Raw genomic sequence first — 19,025 nt, forward strand, 5'->3', positions numbered from 1 at the left:
ATACATACCATGAAAACAATAAGCCTGAGAAGGCTGTAGCAGCTTTCGTTTTTTTTTTTTTTTTTTTGCGATGGAGTCTCACTCTGTTGCCCAGGCTGGAGTGCAGTGGTGCGATCTAGGCTCACTGCAACCTCCCGCCTCCCAGGTTCAAGCAATTCTCTGCCTCAGCCTCCTGAGTAGCTGAGATTAAAGGTGCCTGCCACCATGCCCAGCTAATTTTTTGTATTTTTAGTAGAGATAGGGGTTTCAACATCTTGGTCAGGAGAATGAGACCATCCTGGCTAACACAGTGGAACCCCGTCTTTACTAAAAATACAAAAAATTAGCCAGGCATGGTGGCAGGCGCCTGCAGTCCCAGCTACTCAGGAGGGTGAGGCAGGAGAATGGAGTGAACCCGGGAGACGAAGCTTGCAGTGAGCCGAGATCGTGCCACTGTACTCCAGCTTGGGTGACAGAGCGAAACTCCGTCTCAAAAAAAAAAAAAAAAAAAATCATACAGGCAGCTGGTTGTGGTGGTTCATGCCTGTCATCCCAGCACTTTGGGAGGCTGAGGTGGACGGATCACCTGAGGTCAGCAGTTCAAGCCCAGCCTGGCCAACATGGTGAAACCTCATCTCTACTAAAAATACAAAAATCAGTTGTGTATGGTGGTGTGTGCCTGTAATCCCAGCTACTCAAGAGGCTGAGGCATGAGAATCGCTTGAACTTGGGAGGCAGAGGTTGCGGTGAGCCGAGATCGCGACACTGCACTCCAGCCTGGGCGAAAGAGCAAAACTCTGTCTCCAAAAAAAACAAAAAAACAAAAAACAAAAAAACAAAAAAAACCCAATACAGGGCAGGGCATGTTCTTTGATCATAGAGCAGTAAGTTAAAAATCAATAATCATTAGATATCTAGGAAAACCCAAACACTAGATAAACTTTTAAGTAATTCATGGATCAAAGAAGAAATCAGAAAACAAATTAACACGGATTAGTGGACATTTAAAGATTTATATACTCATGTTATAAAGAAAGCAGGATTAAAATAAATGATTTAAGATTCCACTTTAAAGGGTTTGAAAAAGAACAAAGAGGCCAGACACAGTGGCTCACACCTGTAATCCCAGCACTTTGAGAGGCTGAGGCAGGTGGCTCTCCTGAGGTCAGGAGTTGGAGAACAGCCTAGCCAACATGGCAAAACCCCATCTCTACTAAAAATACAAAAATTAGCAGGGCGGGTTGGGGCACGCCTGTAATCCCAGGCTACTTGGGAGGCTACTTGGGAGGCAGAGGCACAAAAATCTATTGAACCCAGGAGGCAGAGGCTGCAGTGAGCTGAGATCACACCACTGCACTCCAGCCTGGGCGACAGAGTGAGACTCTGTCTCAAAAAAAAGAAAAAGAACAAAGAAAAGCTAAACTAAGTAGAGGGAAGGAAACGATAAAAGAAAAAGAAACTTGGCCAGGTGTAGTGGCTCACACCTGTAATCCCAGCACTTTGGGAGGCCGAGGCGGGCAGATCACGAGGTCAGGAGATCGAGACCATCCTGGCTAACATGGTGAAACCCTGTCTCTACTAAAAAAAAAAAAAAAAAAAAAAAAAAAAAAAAAATTAGCCGGGCGTGGTGGCAAGAGCCTGAGGCGACAGAGCAAGACTCTGTCTCAAAATAAAAGAAAAAGAAAAAGAAAAAGAAACTGAATGGCTGGGCGTGGTAGCTCATGCCTGTAATCCCAGCACTCTGGGAGGCAGAGGCGGGTGGATCACCTGAGGTCAGGAGTTCGAGACCAGCCTGAACAACAAGGAGAAACCCCATCTCTGCTAAAAATACAAAAATTAGCTAGGCATGGTGGTGGGCACCTATAATCCCAACTACTCAGGAGGCTGAGGCAGGAGAATTGCTTGAAACCAGGAGGCGGAGGTTGCATTGAGCTGAGATCGCACCAGTGCACTCTAGCCTGGGTGACAGAGTGAGACTCCGTTAAAAAAAAAAAAAAAAGAAAGAAAAAGAAACTGAAGGGCCTTGGGGCTTGGGCCACATCTACCCTACCTCATTTGCTGCAGCTGCCATGGGAGTCGGATGGTTGACCGCATCACCCAGCGCAATGGCTAAGCGGAGATCCTTCTGAATGTATTTCAGGTAGAAATCAGGCTTAAAGTTTCCTTGCAGGATATCTGAGGAGAAAAAGCCAGTATCAGACAAAAGCCAAGGACCTGAAACTAAAAACTACTTACGGTCCACCAGGTGTCAGTACCTAAAACATACTCAGGGCTCAGTTCCACATAGCCTAGGCCTCTTGGCTCCTCACTCACCCTTAGACACCTGAGGGCTGCAGCTCCCAGCCTATATCCCCAAATCCCGCCCACTGTGTTTCTGAACCTCCTCTGGCCAGGGTCAGGGACTGACTGGGGAGGGGCATCTTTCACGCTCACTAAATCCCTGACCTAGTACCCTGCTCTAATCAAACACCAAATGCAAGAAGAGGGGCCAAAAACAACTCACTTTGGCACTTCTGGTCCAGGAAGATGCTGGCCAACTGTCCCTGATTGAGGATGTCCAAGAGTGTCTGCTGGGACTGGCCTGTCACCTGGGCCAGGGTCAGCCCCTCGGCAATAGTGGCCATGAAGCTCCCTTGGACCATGTTCACGATCAGCATCATCTTGGCTGCATTGCCCACTTCACCTGCCCAGGGTAAAGACTCACGGTCACAGCCCAAGAATGCCACAGACAGGGCTTCTCTGTCCACCCTCACCTCTGCTCAGACCCACCTCTCTCCAGGGGAGGCCCCCTTCACCTGCCCCCGACAGACTGGCTCTTCCTCCTTCCACGCACTGACTATGCAGGTGAAAGGAAACCTTCCCCAGGGTCCCCGGCAGAAAGGCCGTGTGGGACTGACGCTGTCATCAGTGTGAAACAGAGGAGATGTGGCCCCAGGCTCCAGGCCTGACAGGTGCAGGCGTGTTACCTAGGAAGAAGGAGGTCTTCCCCATCGCCTGGAAGCAGCTGCTGCAGTCCTCATATAAGCCCCTGTCTCCAGCCGCTAAGATCACCAACATCCCGTCATTAGACAGCTGCTGATTCCCTGAGACGGGGGCTTCCAGAAAGCGCCCCCCCCTGGACACAATCACCTGGAAAGAAAAGTCACAGCTTCTGGAGGCCTCCCCTCTCCCAGCGCTCTCTGGGCAGGACTCAAGGAGTGTTGCTGAGTGGCCACGGCTGCTCATCACCTTCCAGAGCTGGAGGGGACGGCCACCCATACCAAGGTCCTTTAGCTGACACCTAAACTCAGGAGCTAACCATGTGCAGGTCACACAGGCCGAATCACAGCAGTGATGAGACGCTGGGGTCTCCACACAGGAACCCAACTGACTTGGAATTTTTTTTTTTTTTTTGAGGTGGAGTCTCGCTGTCGCCCAGGCTGGAGTGCAGTGGAGCGATCTCGGATCACTGCAAGCTCCGCCTCGCGGGTTCATGCCATTCTCCTGCCTCAGCCTCCCGAGTAACTGGGACTACAGGCGTCCACCACCACGCCTGGCTAATTTTTTGTATTTTTAGTAGAGACAGGTTTCACCATATTAGCCAGGATTGTCTTGATCTCCTGACCTTGTGATCCGCCCGCCTCGGCCTCCCAAAGTGCTTGGATTACAGGAGTGAGCCACCACGCCTGGCCGGAATTTTTTTGTTTTGTTTTTTTGAGACAGAGTCTTGCTCTGTTGCCCAGGCTGGAGTGCAGTGGCGCAATCTCAGCTCACTGCAAACTCTGCCTCCCGGGTTCATGCCATTCTCCTGCATCAGCCTCCTCAGTAGCTGGGACTACAGGCAACCGCCACCATGCCTGGCTAATTTTTTTTTTTTTTTTTGAGACGGAGTCTTGCTCTGTTGCCCAGGCTGGAGTGCAGTGGCACGATCACAGCTCACTGCAAGCTCCGCCTCCTGGGTTCATGCCGCTCTCCTGCCTCAGCCTCCCAAGTAGCTGGGACTACAGGTGCCCGCCACCGCGTCCGGCTAATTTTTTTGTATTTTTAGTAGAGATGGGGTTTCACCGTGTTAGCCAGGATGGTCTCGATCTCCTGACCTCGTGATCCGCCCACCTCGGCCTCCCAAAGTGCTGGGATTACAGGCGTGAGCCACCGCGCCCGGACTGGAATTTCTTAGAGACCAACAACTAGAACCAGATGTGACCATGTCAATGGCTCGGCTGAACACACACCTCCCCTGTGGATGCTGCCCTCCCCTCAGAACATATGTGGGTCCCAAAGTCCCCACTCCCTTATTTGGGCCAGATGCTCGGGGAGGAGGGATGCTTTGCCAGTGTCAAATGCAGACAGCTGCTCAAACCCCAATGCCAGGCGGGCGGCCTGGGTTGCTTCTCATCATAAGGCTGGCAGCTCCAGGACTTGATGCCCATCCCAGCCATGCAGCGACTGCCCATGGCTGTTCAGACTAGCTGCGGTTTGAAGGTGGAGCACGGGATAGGCTAGTCCCAAGGCTACTCGCCTCTCCTCTTCCCTCTCTGGCTTTGGCTCTAGAGTAACTTAACTGCCCACTCTTGTAAGCCTGGGTCTTGGGCTCTGATAGAAAAGATGCTGGAGAGCCAGCCCAAGGAAGGCTGCTACCTGGGCCAGCTCAGTGACGGTGTCAGCGTCCACTGTTGACATGTCCACGTAGCACTTCCCAGGGCGGATCCCTTGCAGCACACCACTGGGGCCCAGCACCAGCTGTGGGGACACAAGGGAGAAGCAATAGCCCAGGCTCCCGGGCAGATGCTCAGGAGCCCTACAGACCTCAGATCAGAATCCTGCTGCTGTTTTGGCTCATTTCCTGATTTCTATCAGCTGAAAAGGGAAGAACAATGAAATAAGCAAGGGATAGAAAAGTACTTCCCGCATGCTCCCATTTATCTTTAAAAAGAATCTATGTGAGTGTGTGCATTTCTTTTTATTTAAAAAAAAAAAAAAACAAACCCCATTTAAAAGAATAAACCTCAGCATTTACTTTGGGGACTTCTTTGGATTTACTTGGATTAGGCTAGTCACCAGTTTAATAAGATGACTACCACACTTGAACTTCTAAAATATACAAATACAGTGACAGCTAAACATAGAAGCTTGGCACCTGGACCAAAGGCACATTCAGTTCCAAAGCTTCTAGTTCAACAAGAACACATGAAGCCTGTTCAAGACACATTTCAGCACAGACTTCAAGGGCCCTAGTAGTGTTCATTCTTTGATCTGAATTAAAGGAAGTCTGTATTCAATTAATGCAAACACCCTTCACAATGGGAGATGGCCCCTGATGGGAAATTCAGCCCCCCACATGTGGACACTCACTTGGTGTGCAGGGGAGGAGGGGAAGAGGCCAGCCAGCAATCCTGGCTGTGACCCGGAGTTGCTGAGGGGAGGGAGGGGGTCCTTACGTCCTTGGCCGCCTTGGGATCCGACACGCAGGCGAAAGTGATGTCGCAGGTTGAGACGACTTCAGCGGGGGTTCTTCCCAGACGGGCCCCCTCCTGGATGAACAAATCACACTGCAAAAGTCACAGATCCTAACGTGAGCTGCAGGCAGTGCACAACAAACATGCCAGCCAGGCCAGAGAATTGCTGACCAGGCCTCCTGGCGGCCTACCAAGGCAGGAGGCTGAGGCCGGGAGCCTGGGTCATGGAGATAGGAGCCCAACTTTTGGGGAAGTGCACGGGGCCTTTTACTGGCCATCTTCAGTTTTTGCATGACGAGTGCCTAGGATGATGAACTGCTTCACAAGTGTCTGCTGAAGGTATGCTGTTTCAAGAATGGGGTATGAACAGTAGCACCTCTCCCCAGCCCCCGCTGTGCTGTCCTGGCTGTGGCCCTGAGCTATCAACACTCTGCTGGGAATGTGGGGATGTCGCTGGAAGCCTTCCACCTGGTGGCCATTCGTTTTTGGGTTGTTTCTCAACACTGTTGTCAGGTTAATAAGACTTCTGGAAGTGCCTAAAAACACTACCATTTTGGCTTTTTTTTTTTGAGACAAGGTTTTGCTCTGTCACCCAGGCTGGAGCACAGTGGTGCAATCATGGCTCACTGCAGCCTCAACCTCCTGGACTCAAGTGATCCTCCTGCCTCAGCCTCCTGAATAGCTGGGACTATAGGTGCATGCCCCATGTGTGATTTTTTTTTTTTTCTGTAGAGACAGGGTTTCACCATGTTGCCCAGGCTGGATGGGCCTACTATTTTCTATCAGACTTTTAATGTTGTTTATGATTCACATTTATCTATATTGTTGTCTTTCATAATTCTGGCATAATTATGGTTTATAGTGGTTGACTATGGAAAACTTCACTGAGAGATATACTGTGATTTACCTAATGGCTGACCTGTAGTTTGACACTTAGCCCACTTTCAATTGTAAAATCACATCACCAAACATCTTTACGTACAAAACTTCTCTATGTTTTAAATTCAGGTCTCCACAAATAGAATAAAACAGGTTCTAAAAGTTTTAAGGCTCTCAACAAATGTAGACAGATGACTTCCCAATGAGACTATGTCACTTCATAAAGATCACCAGCAAGCTCTCCTATTATGCCAGTACCAAGTATGTAATTTAAAAACTACAAATAAGTGCCCATAAATACATGTAAAATTCTTCCTACCTGATCATTTAACCAGTCAAAAAAGGCAACTGTTTCATTTTTTTTTTTTGAGACAGAGTCTCGCTGTCGCCCAGGATGGAGTGCAGTGGCACGATCTCAGCTCACTGCAAGCTCTGCCTCCCAGGTTCACGCCATTCTCCTGCCTCAGCCTCCCGAGTAGCTGGGACTACAGGCGCCCGCCACTGTGCCCGGCTAATTTTTCGTATTTTTAGTAGAGACGGGGTTTCACCGAGGTCTCGATCTCCTGACCTCGTTATCCCCCAGTCTCTGCCTTCCAAAGTGCTGGGATTATAGGCATGAGCCACCGCACCCGGCCTTGTTTGATATATTTTAATTACTCCTGATTACCGAATATTTTTTATGCCTTTGTTTCCTCTTTTGTGAGCCATTTTTTTGTCCTTTTTCTTTTCTGAGACAGGGTCTTGCTGCTGCCTAGGTGGGAATGCAGTGGTATGATCACAGCTCACTGCAGCCTCTACCTCCTGGGCCCAAGAGATCTTCTGGCCTCAGCCTCCCAAGTAGCTGGGACTATAGTAGGCAGGTGCCACCTCACTCAGCTAATATTTTATTTTTTGTAGAGATGGAGTCTCATGTTGTCCAGGCTGGTCTCAAATTCCTGGACTCAAGCAATCCTCTTCCCTCAGCCTCCCAAGGTGCTAGGATTATAGGTGTGAGCCTATTCTTAGATCTAAAATTATTAATTAGCACCCTACTAATTTTTTTGTCTTAATTATCAAACTATGTTTAATAAAAGCAACATATTACCCTTCTTACGTATTTGCTACAAGTACTTCTAGTTGGTATTCCTTTGAATTTTATTTTTTTGTTGTTGGGGAGTATTATCAAAAAAAATCAACTGATCTTCTTGTGTGATTTTTATTAGTTCTAGATTTACAAAGATCTATGTTAGTATTTATTTTCTTCTGGTTTTCTTTTAAAAAATTACTTGTGGGCCAGGCACAGTGGCTCACACCCGTAATCCCAGTATTTTGGGAGGCCAAGGCGGGTGGATCACCTGAGGTCAGAAGTTCGAGACCAGCCTGGCTAACATGGTGAAACCCCTTCTCTACTAAAAATACAAAAAATTAGCCAGGTGTGGTGGCGCGCGCCTGTAATCCCAGCTACTTGGGAGTCTGAGGCAGGAGAATCACTTGAACCTGGGAGGTGGAGGTTGCAGTGAGCCGAGATTGTGCCATTTTTTTTTTTTTTTGAGACGGAGTCTTGTTCTGTTGCCAGGCTGGAGTGCAGTGACACGATCTCAGCTCACTGCAACCTCTGCCTCCCACATTCAAGTTATTCTCCTGCCTCAGCCTCCTGAGTAACTGAGACTACAGGTGAACGCCACCATACCCAGCTAATTTTTGTATTTTCTATTTTTTTTTTTTGAGACGGAGTCTTGCTCTGTCGCCCAGGCTGGAGTGCAGTGGCGCGATCTCGGCTCACTGCAAGCTCTGCCTCCCGGGTTCATGCCATTCTCCTGCCTCAGCCTCTGGAGCAGCTGGGACTACAGGTGCCCGCCACCACGCCCGGCTAATTTTTTGTATTTTAAGTAGAGACGGGGTTTCACCGTGTTAGCCAGGATGGTCTCGATCTCCTGACCTCATGATCCGCCCGCCTCAGCCTCCCAAAGTGCTGGGATTACAGGAGTGAGCCACCGCGCCAGGCAAATGTTTAGGTTTTATAATAACATCCTAAGTTTAGGCATCTACATCTCTACCTGCCTGGACTAAAAGCTTGGCTTCTATTCTATTGCACGCAGAACGCTGAGACAACAGGGGGAGATGTCCACTCTTAGGGTTACCCCAGACTCCACCGATCCAACAGGCACCACCCCTGAATGCTTACTTTCTCTGCAGTGCGGTTCCAGACAGTCACTGTGTGACCCATTTTTAGCAAGTTGGAGACGATTCCACTTCCCATGAGACCAAGGCCCAAAAATCCTATCCTGAAACAGAGAGAGACTGATGAGTTCAGGGTGGAAAGGGAGGGTCACGGTGATGATGATTCCATGCAGCACAAGGCTCGCTCCCTTATACAGCTTGGGGTAGGGGAATTCAGACTGCCAGAAACAGCAGTGGCCAATCTACCTGCAGAGCCAGGGGCGTCATGCACATGGGTCTTCTCTTATGCCATGGTCTAAAGCTGTCCCAGGATGTAAACAGGCATTTTGAAACCCCTGACTGTCACAGAAAAAAGTATGATGTGTATGGTTCAGGGCCAGTCTCCCAGGGCAAAGTCCCCTTGCTGCCCTTTTTTTTTTTTTTGAGACAGTCTTGCTCTGTTCCAGGCTGGAGTGCAATGGCGCGAGCTCAGCTCACTGCAACCTCTGCATCCTGGGTTCAAGCGATTCTCCTGCCTCAGCTTTCTGAGTAGCTGGGATTACAGGCGCACGCCACCATGCCCAGCTAATTTTTGTATTTTTAGTAGAGACAGGGTTTCACCATGTTGGCCAGGCTGGTCTCAAACTCCTGACCTCGTGATCTGCCCACCTCGGCCTCCCAAAGTGCTCGGATTACAGGCGTGAGCCACCATGCCCGGCCTCACACTTTACTTATTTTTTGAGATAGTGTCTTGTTCTGTTGCCCAGGCTGCAGTGTAGTGGTGCAATCATGGCTCACTGCAGCCTCGACCTCCTGGGCTCAAGTAATCCTTCCCCCTCAGCCTCCTGGGTAGCTGAGACTACAGGCATCTGTCAGCACACCTAATTTTTTGTGGAGATGGGCTTTTGCCATGTTACCCAGGCTGGTCTTGGACTCCTGGGCTTAAGGGATCCGCCCACCTCAGCCTCCCAAAGTGCTGGGGTTGCAGGTGTGAACCACTGCACCCGGCTCTGGATACTACTTTAAAGCCCAACAGAATCCACCACAAGTCACTGAAGCACTGTGTTTAGAGCCAGGCAACTTCCTTGACTGCATGAACCAGGACGGCAATTTTCACCTCTCTTTCCCAACTTCAATTCTCTACCCACACCCTACCTTTCCCGTCTTCCCGTTATCAACAGAATGGGCCTTGCCTCTCCTCTCCAAAGCTAAGTCCTTCACCTGAGCTTGGAACCCAATCTTTCCCAGTCCACAAATCCTTCTCCCCATGCCTGCCTTCCCCCAAACCTCTCACTGTTCCCCCAGCCCTTCCTTCCACAGGTCCTTCCCAATCCTTGTGACAGAAGCACTCATTGGCCAGTCTCCTCCACACACATTCACATACTCCGCCTGCTCCTTCCTGCAACCCTGAGAGCTGGGGGCTGGATGCCACTGCTGCTATTTCAACATGCTTTTACGGATGACTTTTAGCTTGCCAAAGTGTCTTTTCTTGATTCTTGTACTTCTTCACCTCTCTTTGCAAGTGACAATGGTGCAAAAGAATGCCTTTCCTCATTTCTGATCATATCATGTTCTTGTTTTTATAGTTTTTAATTTTTATTTATTTATTTATTTAAAAAGAGAGATGGGGGGGTCTTGCTATGTTGGCTAGGCTGGTCTCGAACTTTTGGTATCAGGCAATCCTCTCACCTCAGCCTCCCAAAGTGTTAGGATTATGGGCGTGAGCCACTGCACCCAGCCTTTTTTCTTTTTTTAGTGACAGCATTATGCTGTCTCCCAGGCTGGAGTGCAGGGGGGTGATCATAGCTCACCGCAGCCTCAAACTCCTGGGCTCAAGTGATCCTTCCACCTCAGTCCACCTGAGCAGCTAGGACTATAGGTGCATGCCACCATGTCTGGCTAAGTTTTAAAATTTTTTTGTAGAGACGGGGTCTTGCTGTATTTCCTAGGCTGGTCATGAACTCCTGGCCTCAAGGGATCCTTCTGCTTTGGTCTCCCAAAGTGTGGGGATTACAAGGATGAGCTACTGCGCTTGGCCATGTTTTCAATTCAGAAATTCTCTGACTGCTGGATGTCCCCGGCAGCTCCTCCACTTTGACCCTGTCATTCTTTCCATAGTTTTGGTCTTCTGGAACCATCTCTACAAATGGACCCCTAATCTCAGCTGGAATATCAGCTGCTCACATTCTCCCTGTCCCAGCCTGTATTAAGTAATTTGAATCACATGTTGAAAATGGAACCCACCAACTTTCTCACCAAAATAGACCTCCTTGCTAACTGCTTCAAGTTGTGGCTTAAAAACAAGGAGGTACCTTTTTGTCACTCATTATTTGGGTAGTACAATATTCCCCCATGATTCTAAATCATGACAGGCGAATTCCCTTTCCTTTCTTGGTGTTCTAGGAAGTCCAGTAGACCTGGGATAAAGCTTCTGGATTTTTTTGAGACACAGTCTCGTTCTGTTGCCCAGGCTGGAGTGCAGTGGTGCGATCTTGGCTCACTGCAACCTCCACCTCCCGGGTTCAAGCGATTCTCCCACCTCAGCCTCCCAAGTAGCTGGGATTAAAGGCACCCACCATCATGCCTGGCTAATTTTTGTAGAGACAGGGTTTCACCATGTTGGCCAGGCTGGTCTTGAACTCCTGACCTCAGGTAATCCGCCCACCTTGGCCTCCCAAAGTGCTGGGATAACAGCCATGAGCCACCATGCCCAGGTCAAGGTTCTGGATTTTTAATATGGCAACTGAGAGTCCTTCACACTGTGTCTCAGACAAAATGGAAATGTGGATTAAGGTGGGTTGGGCAACAACAAAACTGGTTGGTTTTGATGCTGGCTTCATACTCTTTTATTAAAAGTTTGACTAATGGGCCAATAAATGTGTTGGGTAAAAACATCAGGACTCTGTCCTCACCCTATCCTGATCATTTTTTTATTTTTATTTTTTTAACACAATCCTCCTCCCCTTTGTTTGCACCTAATATGCCCTTATCTCCTCCACTCTACAGAGACAAGTTCACCAAAAATAACTGGTAGCATTAGTGATTTAAACAGTACAAAAATATCATGTAAAAGATGCACTGTTTTTAGTCTGGGGAAGACCATGTGAAAGGTACAAACTGGAAACTGACTTTAGCTAACTTGCTCCAGAGAACGTGTTTTCCTAGAAAAGGTATCTTTTTGCCAACAAGACTCTGCGGAGGAGACATGCCTACAGAGCAGGCACAGAGGCAAGGCTGGGCGCAAGTTGGGTCTGGGAGCATGTCCAGGATCGCCCCACCCACACCGGGCAGGGTGCAGGACAGCCAGCAAGTGCTCAGTGAGGATCCCCAAGCACTTTCATCTCCCTTCCCCCACCTGCCCCACCATGGCCAATTTTGGGGCCTCATCATGATTCTACTCAGCCAGTGGTTCTCACAGCGTAGCTCTGACCAGCAGCAGCAGTATACCTGGGAACTGGTTAAAAATACAAATTCTTGGGCCCCACCCGGACATATTGACTGAGAAGCCACCTTCCAGGTGACTGTCAGGCACAGGAAAGTCTGAGAACCACTGAGCCAAGTGCTCCTTGCTCTTGAGTTCTGGAGCCAAAAAAATCCCTCAGCTTATGCCCAAGGGAGACCCGACCACAGATTTACACAGCTTTTGACTCCTGTCTTTATCGATAAGAGTTACAACATCCCCCCACCTTTTCCATTCAATGCCAGCAATGGCTGGGACACAACCCTTAAAGAACCCCCCTGGGGTCACCTTCTCCCCACCCTCAGCAGAACCAGAGCCACTGGAGGCCTTTTCATCAAAGGTCCTACTTTTTGTCTGTGGGTGTGATGCTGCCATTCACGGCTGTGCTGTCAGCTGCCTGGATGGAGGTGGAGCCAGTTTCCTACGGACAGGAAGCACACATCATCAAGTCAGTCTGCCTGCAGTTTAAGGCCCCAGGTGAAAATTAAAATGGGGAGGCATGGAGCCTACATACCTCTTCACATATTTTCAACTTCTTCGTGATTGCCTGGTAACAGACAGCTGGCTAATGAAGGAGGAGGAAAGAGACTACTTGTGCTACTGCAGGCTTAACCAGTCTTCATAATAATCCCCTCAAAGGTTAGACCCAAAGTGGGAAGTTAACATCAACTATTTGTTTTATACTTTAGTGAACTCCAAATTTTACACTAGAAAGTTCATACACATTACCTCATTCAAGTCCCCATGCAATTCTACCAGGTCTTTTTGCTGACCATGGTGTTGAGAATAAGAGTCATAAGCTTGGAACCCACATCTATCCAACTCCAAAGCCACAAACTCTCATGAGATCCTAGCACGGCTCAGGCCACCCCATAACCTTGCAGACCTTGGGAGGACCTCCCTCTGCATCCGCAGGACTTGGAGACTACCTCTTGGAGTGAGCTTGAAGATGTGTCTGCCATGCAATTTCATGGGGTGCTGACAGCTTACGATGTTTGGTTTCTGCCCTAAACTCTAAAGGTCACTGTGACAGTCTCAACTACACAGCTGGCTGAGTTTTAAATGCTCTTCTGAGATAGAGTCTCGCTCTGTCGCCCAGGCTGGAGTGCAGTGGCACCATCTCGGCTTGCTGCAACCTTTACCTCCTGGGTTCAAGCGATTCTACTGCCTCAGACTCCCAAGTAGCTGGGATTACAGGAATGCACCACCATGCCCAGCTAATTTTTGTATTTTCAGTAGAGATGGGGTTTCACCATGTTGGCCAGGCTGGTCTTGAACTCCTGACCTCAGGTGATCCACCCGCCTTGGCCTCCCAAAGTGCTGGGATTATAGGCATGAGCCACCATGCCCGGCCTTTGGGTTTATTTATCTTTTTTGAGACAGAGTCTTACGCTGTTGCCCAGTCTGGAGTGCAGCGACGCAATCTTGGCTCACTGCAACCTCTGCCTCCCGGGTTCAAGCAATTCTCCTGCCTCAGCCTCCTGAGTAGCTGGGATTACAGGCACGCGCCACCATGCCCAGCTAATTTTTCTATTTTTAGTAGAGATGAGGTTTCACCATGTTGGTCAGACTGGTCTTGAATCCCTAACCTCATGATCCACCTGCCTCAGCCTCCCAAAGTACTGGGATGACAGGTGTGAGCCACCGCGCCCGGCCTGGATTTACTTTTAATCTTAACAATGCTTGGCTCATTAGCGGGCCCATATGGGGGCTTCTGGGCTAGTTGCTCTGGGCAATACACCGGCAGAGCCTAACTTTTCAGATGGCCAGGCCAGGACCCAGTGGAGGAGCACTCCTTGGCCAGCCCCTGACCAAGGGCCAAGAGCCTCAAAGGCAACTCACCTTCTCTGTTTGGCTTAGCAGGAAATGATGGAAATGAGGATCTGCATCTTTAACAGGCTGAAACCAGAAAACAGTGAAATAAAACCAGTTATCTGCCACCAAAGGTCACTTCCTTCTCCCTGGTAACTGGACTCTCCTCTGGCTGCAACACCTCTGGATTCTGGTCTCTTTTTCACAATTGTCTGGAAACTCTTTTCCCATTTTGGCCTAAGCCTTTTTATAAAAACAAGCCCCATTCCAGCTAGAGGAAAACTGGCTTTAAAGTGTAAAAGAATAGATGATTCTGCTAGGTTGGTACACAAATTATTCCAATGAGCCTGTGGGAAAATATTAACAAGCATACCTGTGCTTTATAAATTCGGTACTCATCAGGCACAGCAGATAACCCAGCAAACTAAGTCACATCTATTCTGGAATTTCAGGGTTTTGGCCTACTTGTGTCTGGTACCAAGCCCTTGGCGATCTCATCTTACTGAGCATATTAACAGAAACAGAGTAGCCACGACAGTGGACCTTCATGGGCTTTCCATAATTATGCCCAGCAACAGGTGTAGCCGCACCAAGGATAATAAAACTAAACATAAAAGTTGTATTTATGGACAATAAGAGGGTGTTTATAAAATATTAGGGGAAAAAAACTTGTGGAATCATCCCACTTTTGTGAAAAAGAACCCTGCCCAAAATAAAAAAAACTAGACATAGGTCTATAATCATGTAAATGAATGCTAAGTGGGCATCCCAAAGGACTGAAATCCGTCACCTCGAGCCTCACAGTGCTCACCCTAGAGGGAAATTTTTAATTTTTTATTTCATAGACTTCTGTACTGTTTTGTAATAATAAATTAAGCCTCACACACAAGAAAGGGACAAAAAAAAAAAAAAAAAGGATCACACAGGAACCTCGCCCTAAGCCACAGCTTGTCCTGCCTGCAGGAGAGCTCCTTACCTCGCTTGCGGTTGGCTGCCATTTAAACGCGGCCATCGGTCCGGCCATCATCCCCTTCACGGTACTAGACTCCGGGATGGTGAGATCCTATAGAGGGAGGGGCAGGGCATTTTAAAATCACATTCAAACCCCAACAAAACCCCTTGCAAGCTCCACAGTCTAAGGGAAAGTTCAAGCCAATCCCCAACCACTGTTCTGATGACCGTCCCTCGGGAGAAACAAGCCAGTTCTTCCCATTAACACAAAGTGAGTCTTTCTTCTCAATTCTGGAAATAATAAAATGTGTACTTATGTCTAAATTTCACAAAGATGGAGGTAATTAGAAAGCCCAAGTACGATCTGCAGTACTGTCTGCAAAGTTTCAGAGTAAATGCCTTATGGTGAATACCAAACATTAAGAAACAGTTGTGGTGGCTGGGCGTGGTGGCTCATGTCTGTAATCCCAGCACTTTGGGAGGCCGAGGCAGGCAGATCATGAGGTCAAGAGATCGAGACCAGCCTGGCCAACACGGTGAAACCCCGTCTCTACTAAAAAATACAAAAATTAGCTGCACCTGTACTCCCAGCTACTCCAGAGGTTGAGGCAGAAGAATCGCTTGAACCGGGGAGGTGGAAGTTGCAGTGAGCCGAGATTGCACCACCGCACTCCAGCCTGGAGACAGAGCAAGACTCCATCTCAAAAAAAAAAAAAAAAAGAAAAAAAAGAAACAGTAGTGGCTTCAGAAGGAATCCGCCATATTTCAAAGAAACGAATAAAACCACATGGGGCTGATGAGATCTGCCCACATTTTACAGCTATCATGACAAAGGCAGAATTAAACTCCAGGGTGGCCAGAGCCCAAGAGCCTGAGTTCTCCTGAGACGGACACAGGAGGACATGGTGAGATGAGAAGCTCCTCTTCATCGATGGCCCGGCTCACCTTCTTCCTGGGCAAAGGGTCCTCTTTCCAGTTTTAACACTGGTCTGGTCCCTCTCGACTGCTCTGATGTTACCTTGCACTCCCTTTCCCCAGTCACTCCCTTCCAGCCACAGTGGCCCTCTTGACACCCCCTGCCTAAACTACTCCTGAGGTTTTCTCAGTCTTAGAAAACGCCTGCTCCATTCTACTAGGCCGATATCTTTAGAGCCCTTCTTGACCCCTCTCTTCTCTAATCCACTGACAATGAATGGGGCTTTACAGTTGGCGATCTGCCCAACCCCTTCTTCTCACCATCCCTGCTACTAATACCTAAGCTCAGGCCACCTGGACAATTGCAAAAATAAATCTCCCTGCTTCCACTCACAGTCTAGTCTCTACACAGCAGCCAGAGTCAGCTACCAAAAGGGCCAATCAGATTATGATGCTTCTTTGCCTTAAACTGCCTTCCAGTCTCACATAGTAAAGCTACGGGCTTCATGAGCATGGTCTACAGGGAGGGTCTTGCAAGTTCTGCCGTCTCCCACCCATCCCACGCCAATCTCCAACCTCAAGTCCTATTTCTTCCCCCGTCACTGCTCTCTAGCTCGTTAGCACCCTGCTGGCTTTCCCCCCCGCACCAAACACACCAAGCATGTGCCTGCCCTGGCACCCTTGTGCTACTTGGAACGTTCTTCTGACAGTTATCTCCTTGGCTCAGGCTCGCTTTGGGACTCTGCTGAAATGTCACCTTATCAGAGTGGCTTCACCTGACCTCTTTTTATGTTTGCCCATAGAACATGATGCTGATGTGGATTATAATGAGAACAAATGCCTTCATAGGGCTTACTATGTGCTAGACATCACAATAAGTCCTATTTTATACATACATTCTCATGTAATTCTTGCCCCTTCATGAAACAGAATTATTATCATCTTCTTTTTTTTTTTTTGAGACGGAGTCTTGCTCTGTAGCCCAGGCTGCAGTGCAGTGGCACAATCTTGGCTCACTGCAACCTCTGTCTCCTGGGTTCCAGCGATTCTCCTGCCTCAGCCTCCTGAGTAGCTGGGACCACAGGCGCGCGGCCACCATGCCCAGCTAATTTTTTGTATTTTTAGTAGAGACGGGGTTTCACCATGTTAGCCAGGATGGTCTCGATCTCCTGACCTCGTGATCCGCCCGCCTCGGCCTCCCAAAGTGCTGGGATTACAGGCGTGAGCCACTGCACCCAGCCCTATTATAATCTTCTTTTACAGAATAGAAAACTAAGGCACACAGAGCTTAAGTAACCTTGCTTAAGGTCACCGAGTCAGTCACTGGTGTGGTAGACACAACTTATTTATTTATTTGGAGGCATAGTCTAGCTGTCACCCAGGCTGGAGTGCAGTGACTCAATTATGGCTCACTGCAGCCTCAACCACTTGAGCTCAAGTGATCTTCCCACCTCAGCCTCCTGGGTAGCTGGGACTACAGGTGTGTGCCACTACGCCCAGCTAATTTTTTATTTTTATTTTTTGTAGATGTATTATTTATTTGCAATTATTTGTTTTCTGTAATTTCTAATTTTTTGTTTTTATAGGGTCTTGCTATGTTGGCCAGACTGGTCTCTAACTTCTGGCCTCAAGTGGTCCTCCTACCTCGGCCTTCCAAAGTGCTGGGATTATGGGAGTGAGCCACTGTGCCTAGCAGACTGACAGAATTTGGCTCCAGGGTCTGTCATATTAGAAGCACATCCTAGAAAAGCAAGAACTCTGCCAGTCTGGCCTACTCTACAACCCATGCTGCCATACAGTCCAGGTTCAATTCTTACTGAAGGAGCCTCGTCTGACTTTTATGCTGCTTTCTCTCCAGGCATTTGGCCTATAGGAGAATTACTCAATAAACATTTGTTGAATGCAGAGGTTTTTGGGGGAAAAGAAAAGGCCCAGCCCAGAGCTGCCCAAAAGAATATTCTGCAATGATGGGCGTGTACTCCATCTGCACTGTGTGATAGAGCAGGCGCCAGTCAAGCGTCACTGTGGAGCATCTCACACAATAGGGTGATGGAGAAGCTGCATTTTAATGTGCATTTAATTTCAATTTAAATGGCCAATTGTGGCTGGGGCAGCACAGCTGTCTTGGGTGGTGCAGCCCTAGGACTCACCTAAGGCCACAATGACCCAATGGAAACAAGGAGGAGGCAGCTTGTAACTCTCAGTTTGGCACTAAGGAAGGGCCCCAACTCCTAAACTTCTGCTCCTCGTGTGAGTATGGGATTTTGGGAGAGTCACAGAACTAACAGCGCTACTTTGATCTGGGTGGGCTGTGCCCAGAGTTCATCCCCAGAAAGAGGGTAGGTGGGCGCTGCTGGGGTGCAGCTCTTACATGCAGGTCCAGACGCAAACCCAGCCTTTCCCTGCCTGCCTCCGCCATCAAGGTCAGCTTTTTCCATTAATCCTCACGGGGCAGGAGATTATGTCCCGGAATGGCACTCAGCTGGGCTTTGCCCAGTTATCAGCCTATGTGACTGCTCAGTGTTTCTGAGAGGAGCTCGCCAGCCAAATGACAATTACTATAGCAACACACACACAAACACCCTCCTCTGAGACTACGGGATGTATCGCATTTAAAACACACCAAAATTCCAAAGCCCAGGCACCGATTCCCTACCTGTCTGAAGGTGCTGAACTGAAACGGCTATCTGTCCTGTACCACATGCCAGCTCTGTCCTCTCCTGCTCATACGTCCTTTCACTATGGGCCAGGTGAAGCACAAAGAACAGGCAGGAAGGACACCTCGAAGGGTCAATAGCAGCTAGAGCTCCTGGACCACAGACACACCTCGTTTTATTATGCGTTGTTTTATTGTGCTTTGTAGGTGTTGCACTTAAAAAAACAAACAAACAAACAAACAAAAAAAACGGGCCAGGCACGGTGGCTCACGCCTGTCATCCCAGCACTTTGGGAGGCCGAGGCAGGTGGATCATGAGGTCAGGAGATCGACACCATCCTGGCTAACATGATGAAACCCCGTCTCTACTAAAAACACAAAAAATTAGCCGGGCGTGGTGGCGGGCACCTGTAGTCCCAGCTGCTCCAGAGGCTGAGGCAGGAGAATGGCATTAACCCAGGAGGCGGAGCTTGCAGTGAGCCGAGATTGCGCCACTGCACCGCAGCCTGGGCGACAGCACGAGACTCCGTCTCAAAAAAAACAAACCAAAAAACCAAAAAACCAAAAAACGAATTGAAGGTTTGTGGCAACCCAGTATCAATCAAATCTATGGGGGACATTTTCCCAACAGCATGTGTTCACTTTGTGTCTCTGTCAGCATTTTTTTTTTTAAGCAATGAAGTATTTTTAACTTAAGGCATGTATATATATATATTTTTTTGAGATGGAGTCTCGCTCTGTCACCCAGGCTGGGGTGCAGTGGCGTGATCTCGGCTCACTTCAAGCTCCGCCTCCCGGG

The 19,025-nt window shown here is 48.6% G+C and overlaps 1 protein-coding gene across 11 annotated transcripts in view; it reads right to left on the reverse strand.

Moving 5' to 3' along the window:
- GLYR1 (glyoxylate reductase 1 homolog) overlaps nt 1-19,025 on the reverse strand; it is a 44,086-nt gene that overhangs the window by 5,938 nt on the left and 19,123 nt on the right. For 4 of the 11 annotated variants that reach the window (NR_136697.2, NR_136695.2, NM_001324097.2 and 1 more), the window contains 10 exons: nt 14,681-14,767; nt 13,735-13,791; nt 12,407-12,457; nt 12,240-12,313; nt 8,458-8,557; nt 5,397-5,507; nt 4,597-4,698; nt 2,946-3,108; nt 2,483-2,662; nt 2,030-2,154 (listed from right to left, as the gene is read on the reverse strand). Coding sequence is in view for 5 of the 11 variants with exons in the window: in NM_001324097.2 (NP_001311026.2) it covers nt 2,030-2,154; nt 2,483-2,662; nt 2,946-3,108; nt 4,597-4,698; nt 5,397-5,507; nt 8,458-8,557; nt 12,240-12,313; nt 12,407-12,457; nt 13,735-13,791; nt 14,681-14,767 (1,050 nt within the window). In the remaining 6 variants the exon portion in view is untranslated. Of the gene's footprint in view, nt 1-2,029; nt 2,155-2,482; nt 2,663-2,945; nt 3,109-4,596; nt 4,816-5,396; nt 5,508-8,457; nt 8,558-12,239; nt 12,314-12,406; nt 12,458-13,734; nt 13,792-14,680; nt 14,768-19,025 lie in introns of all 11 variants that reach the window. The other 7 variants (NR_136696.2, NM_001324096.2, NM_001308096.2 and 4 more) reach the window with 4 other exon arrangements.

This window comes from Homo sapiens, chromosome 16, assembly GCF_000001405.40.
Source record: "Homo sapiens chromosome 16, GRCh38.p14 Primary Assembly".
Lineage (NCBI taxonomy): Eukaryota > Metazoa > Chordata > Mammalia > Primates > Hominidae > Homo > Homo sapiens.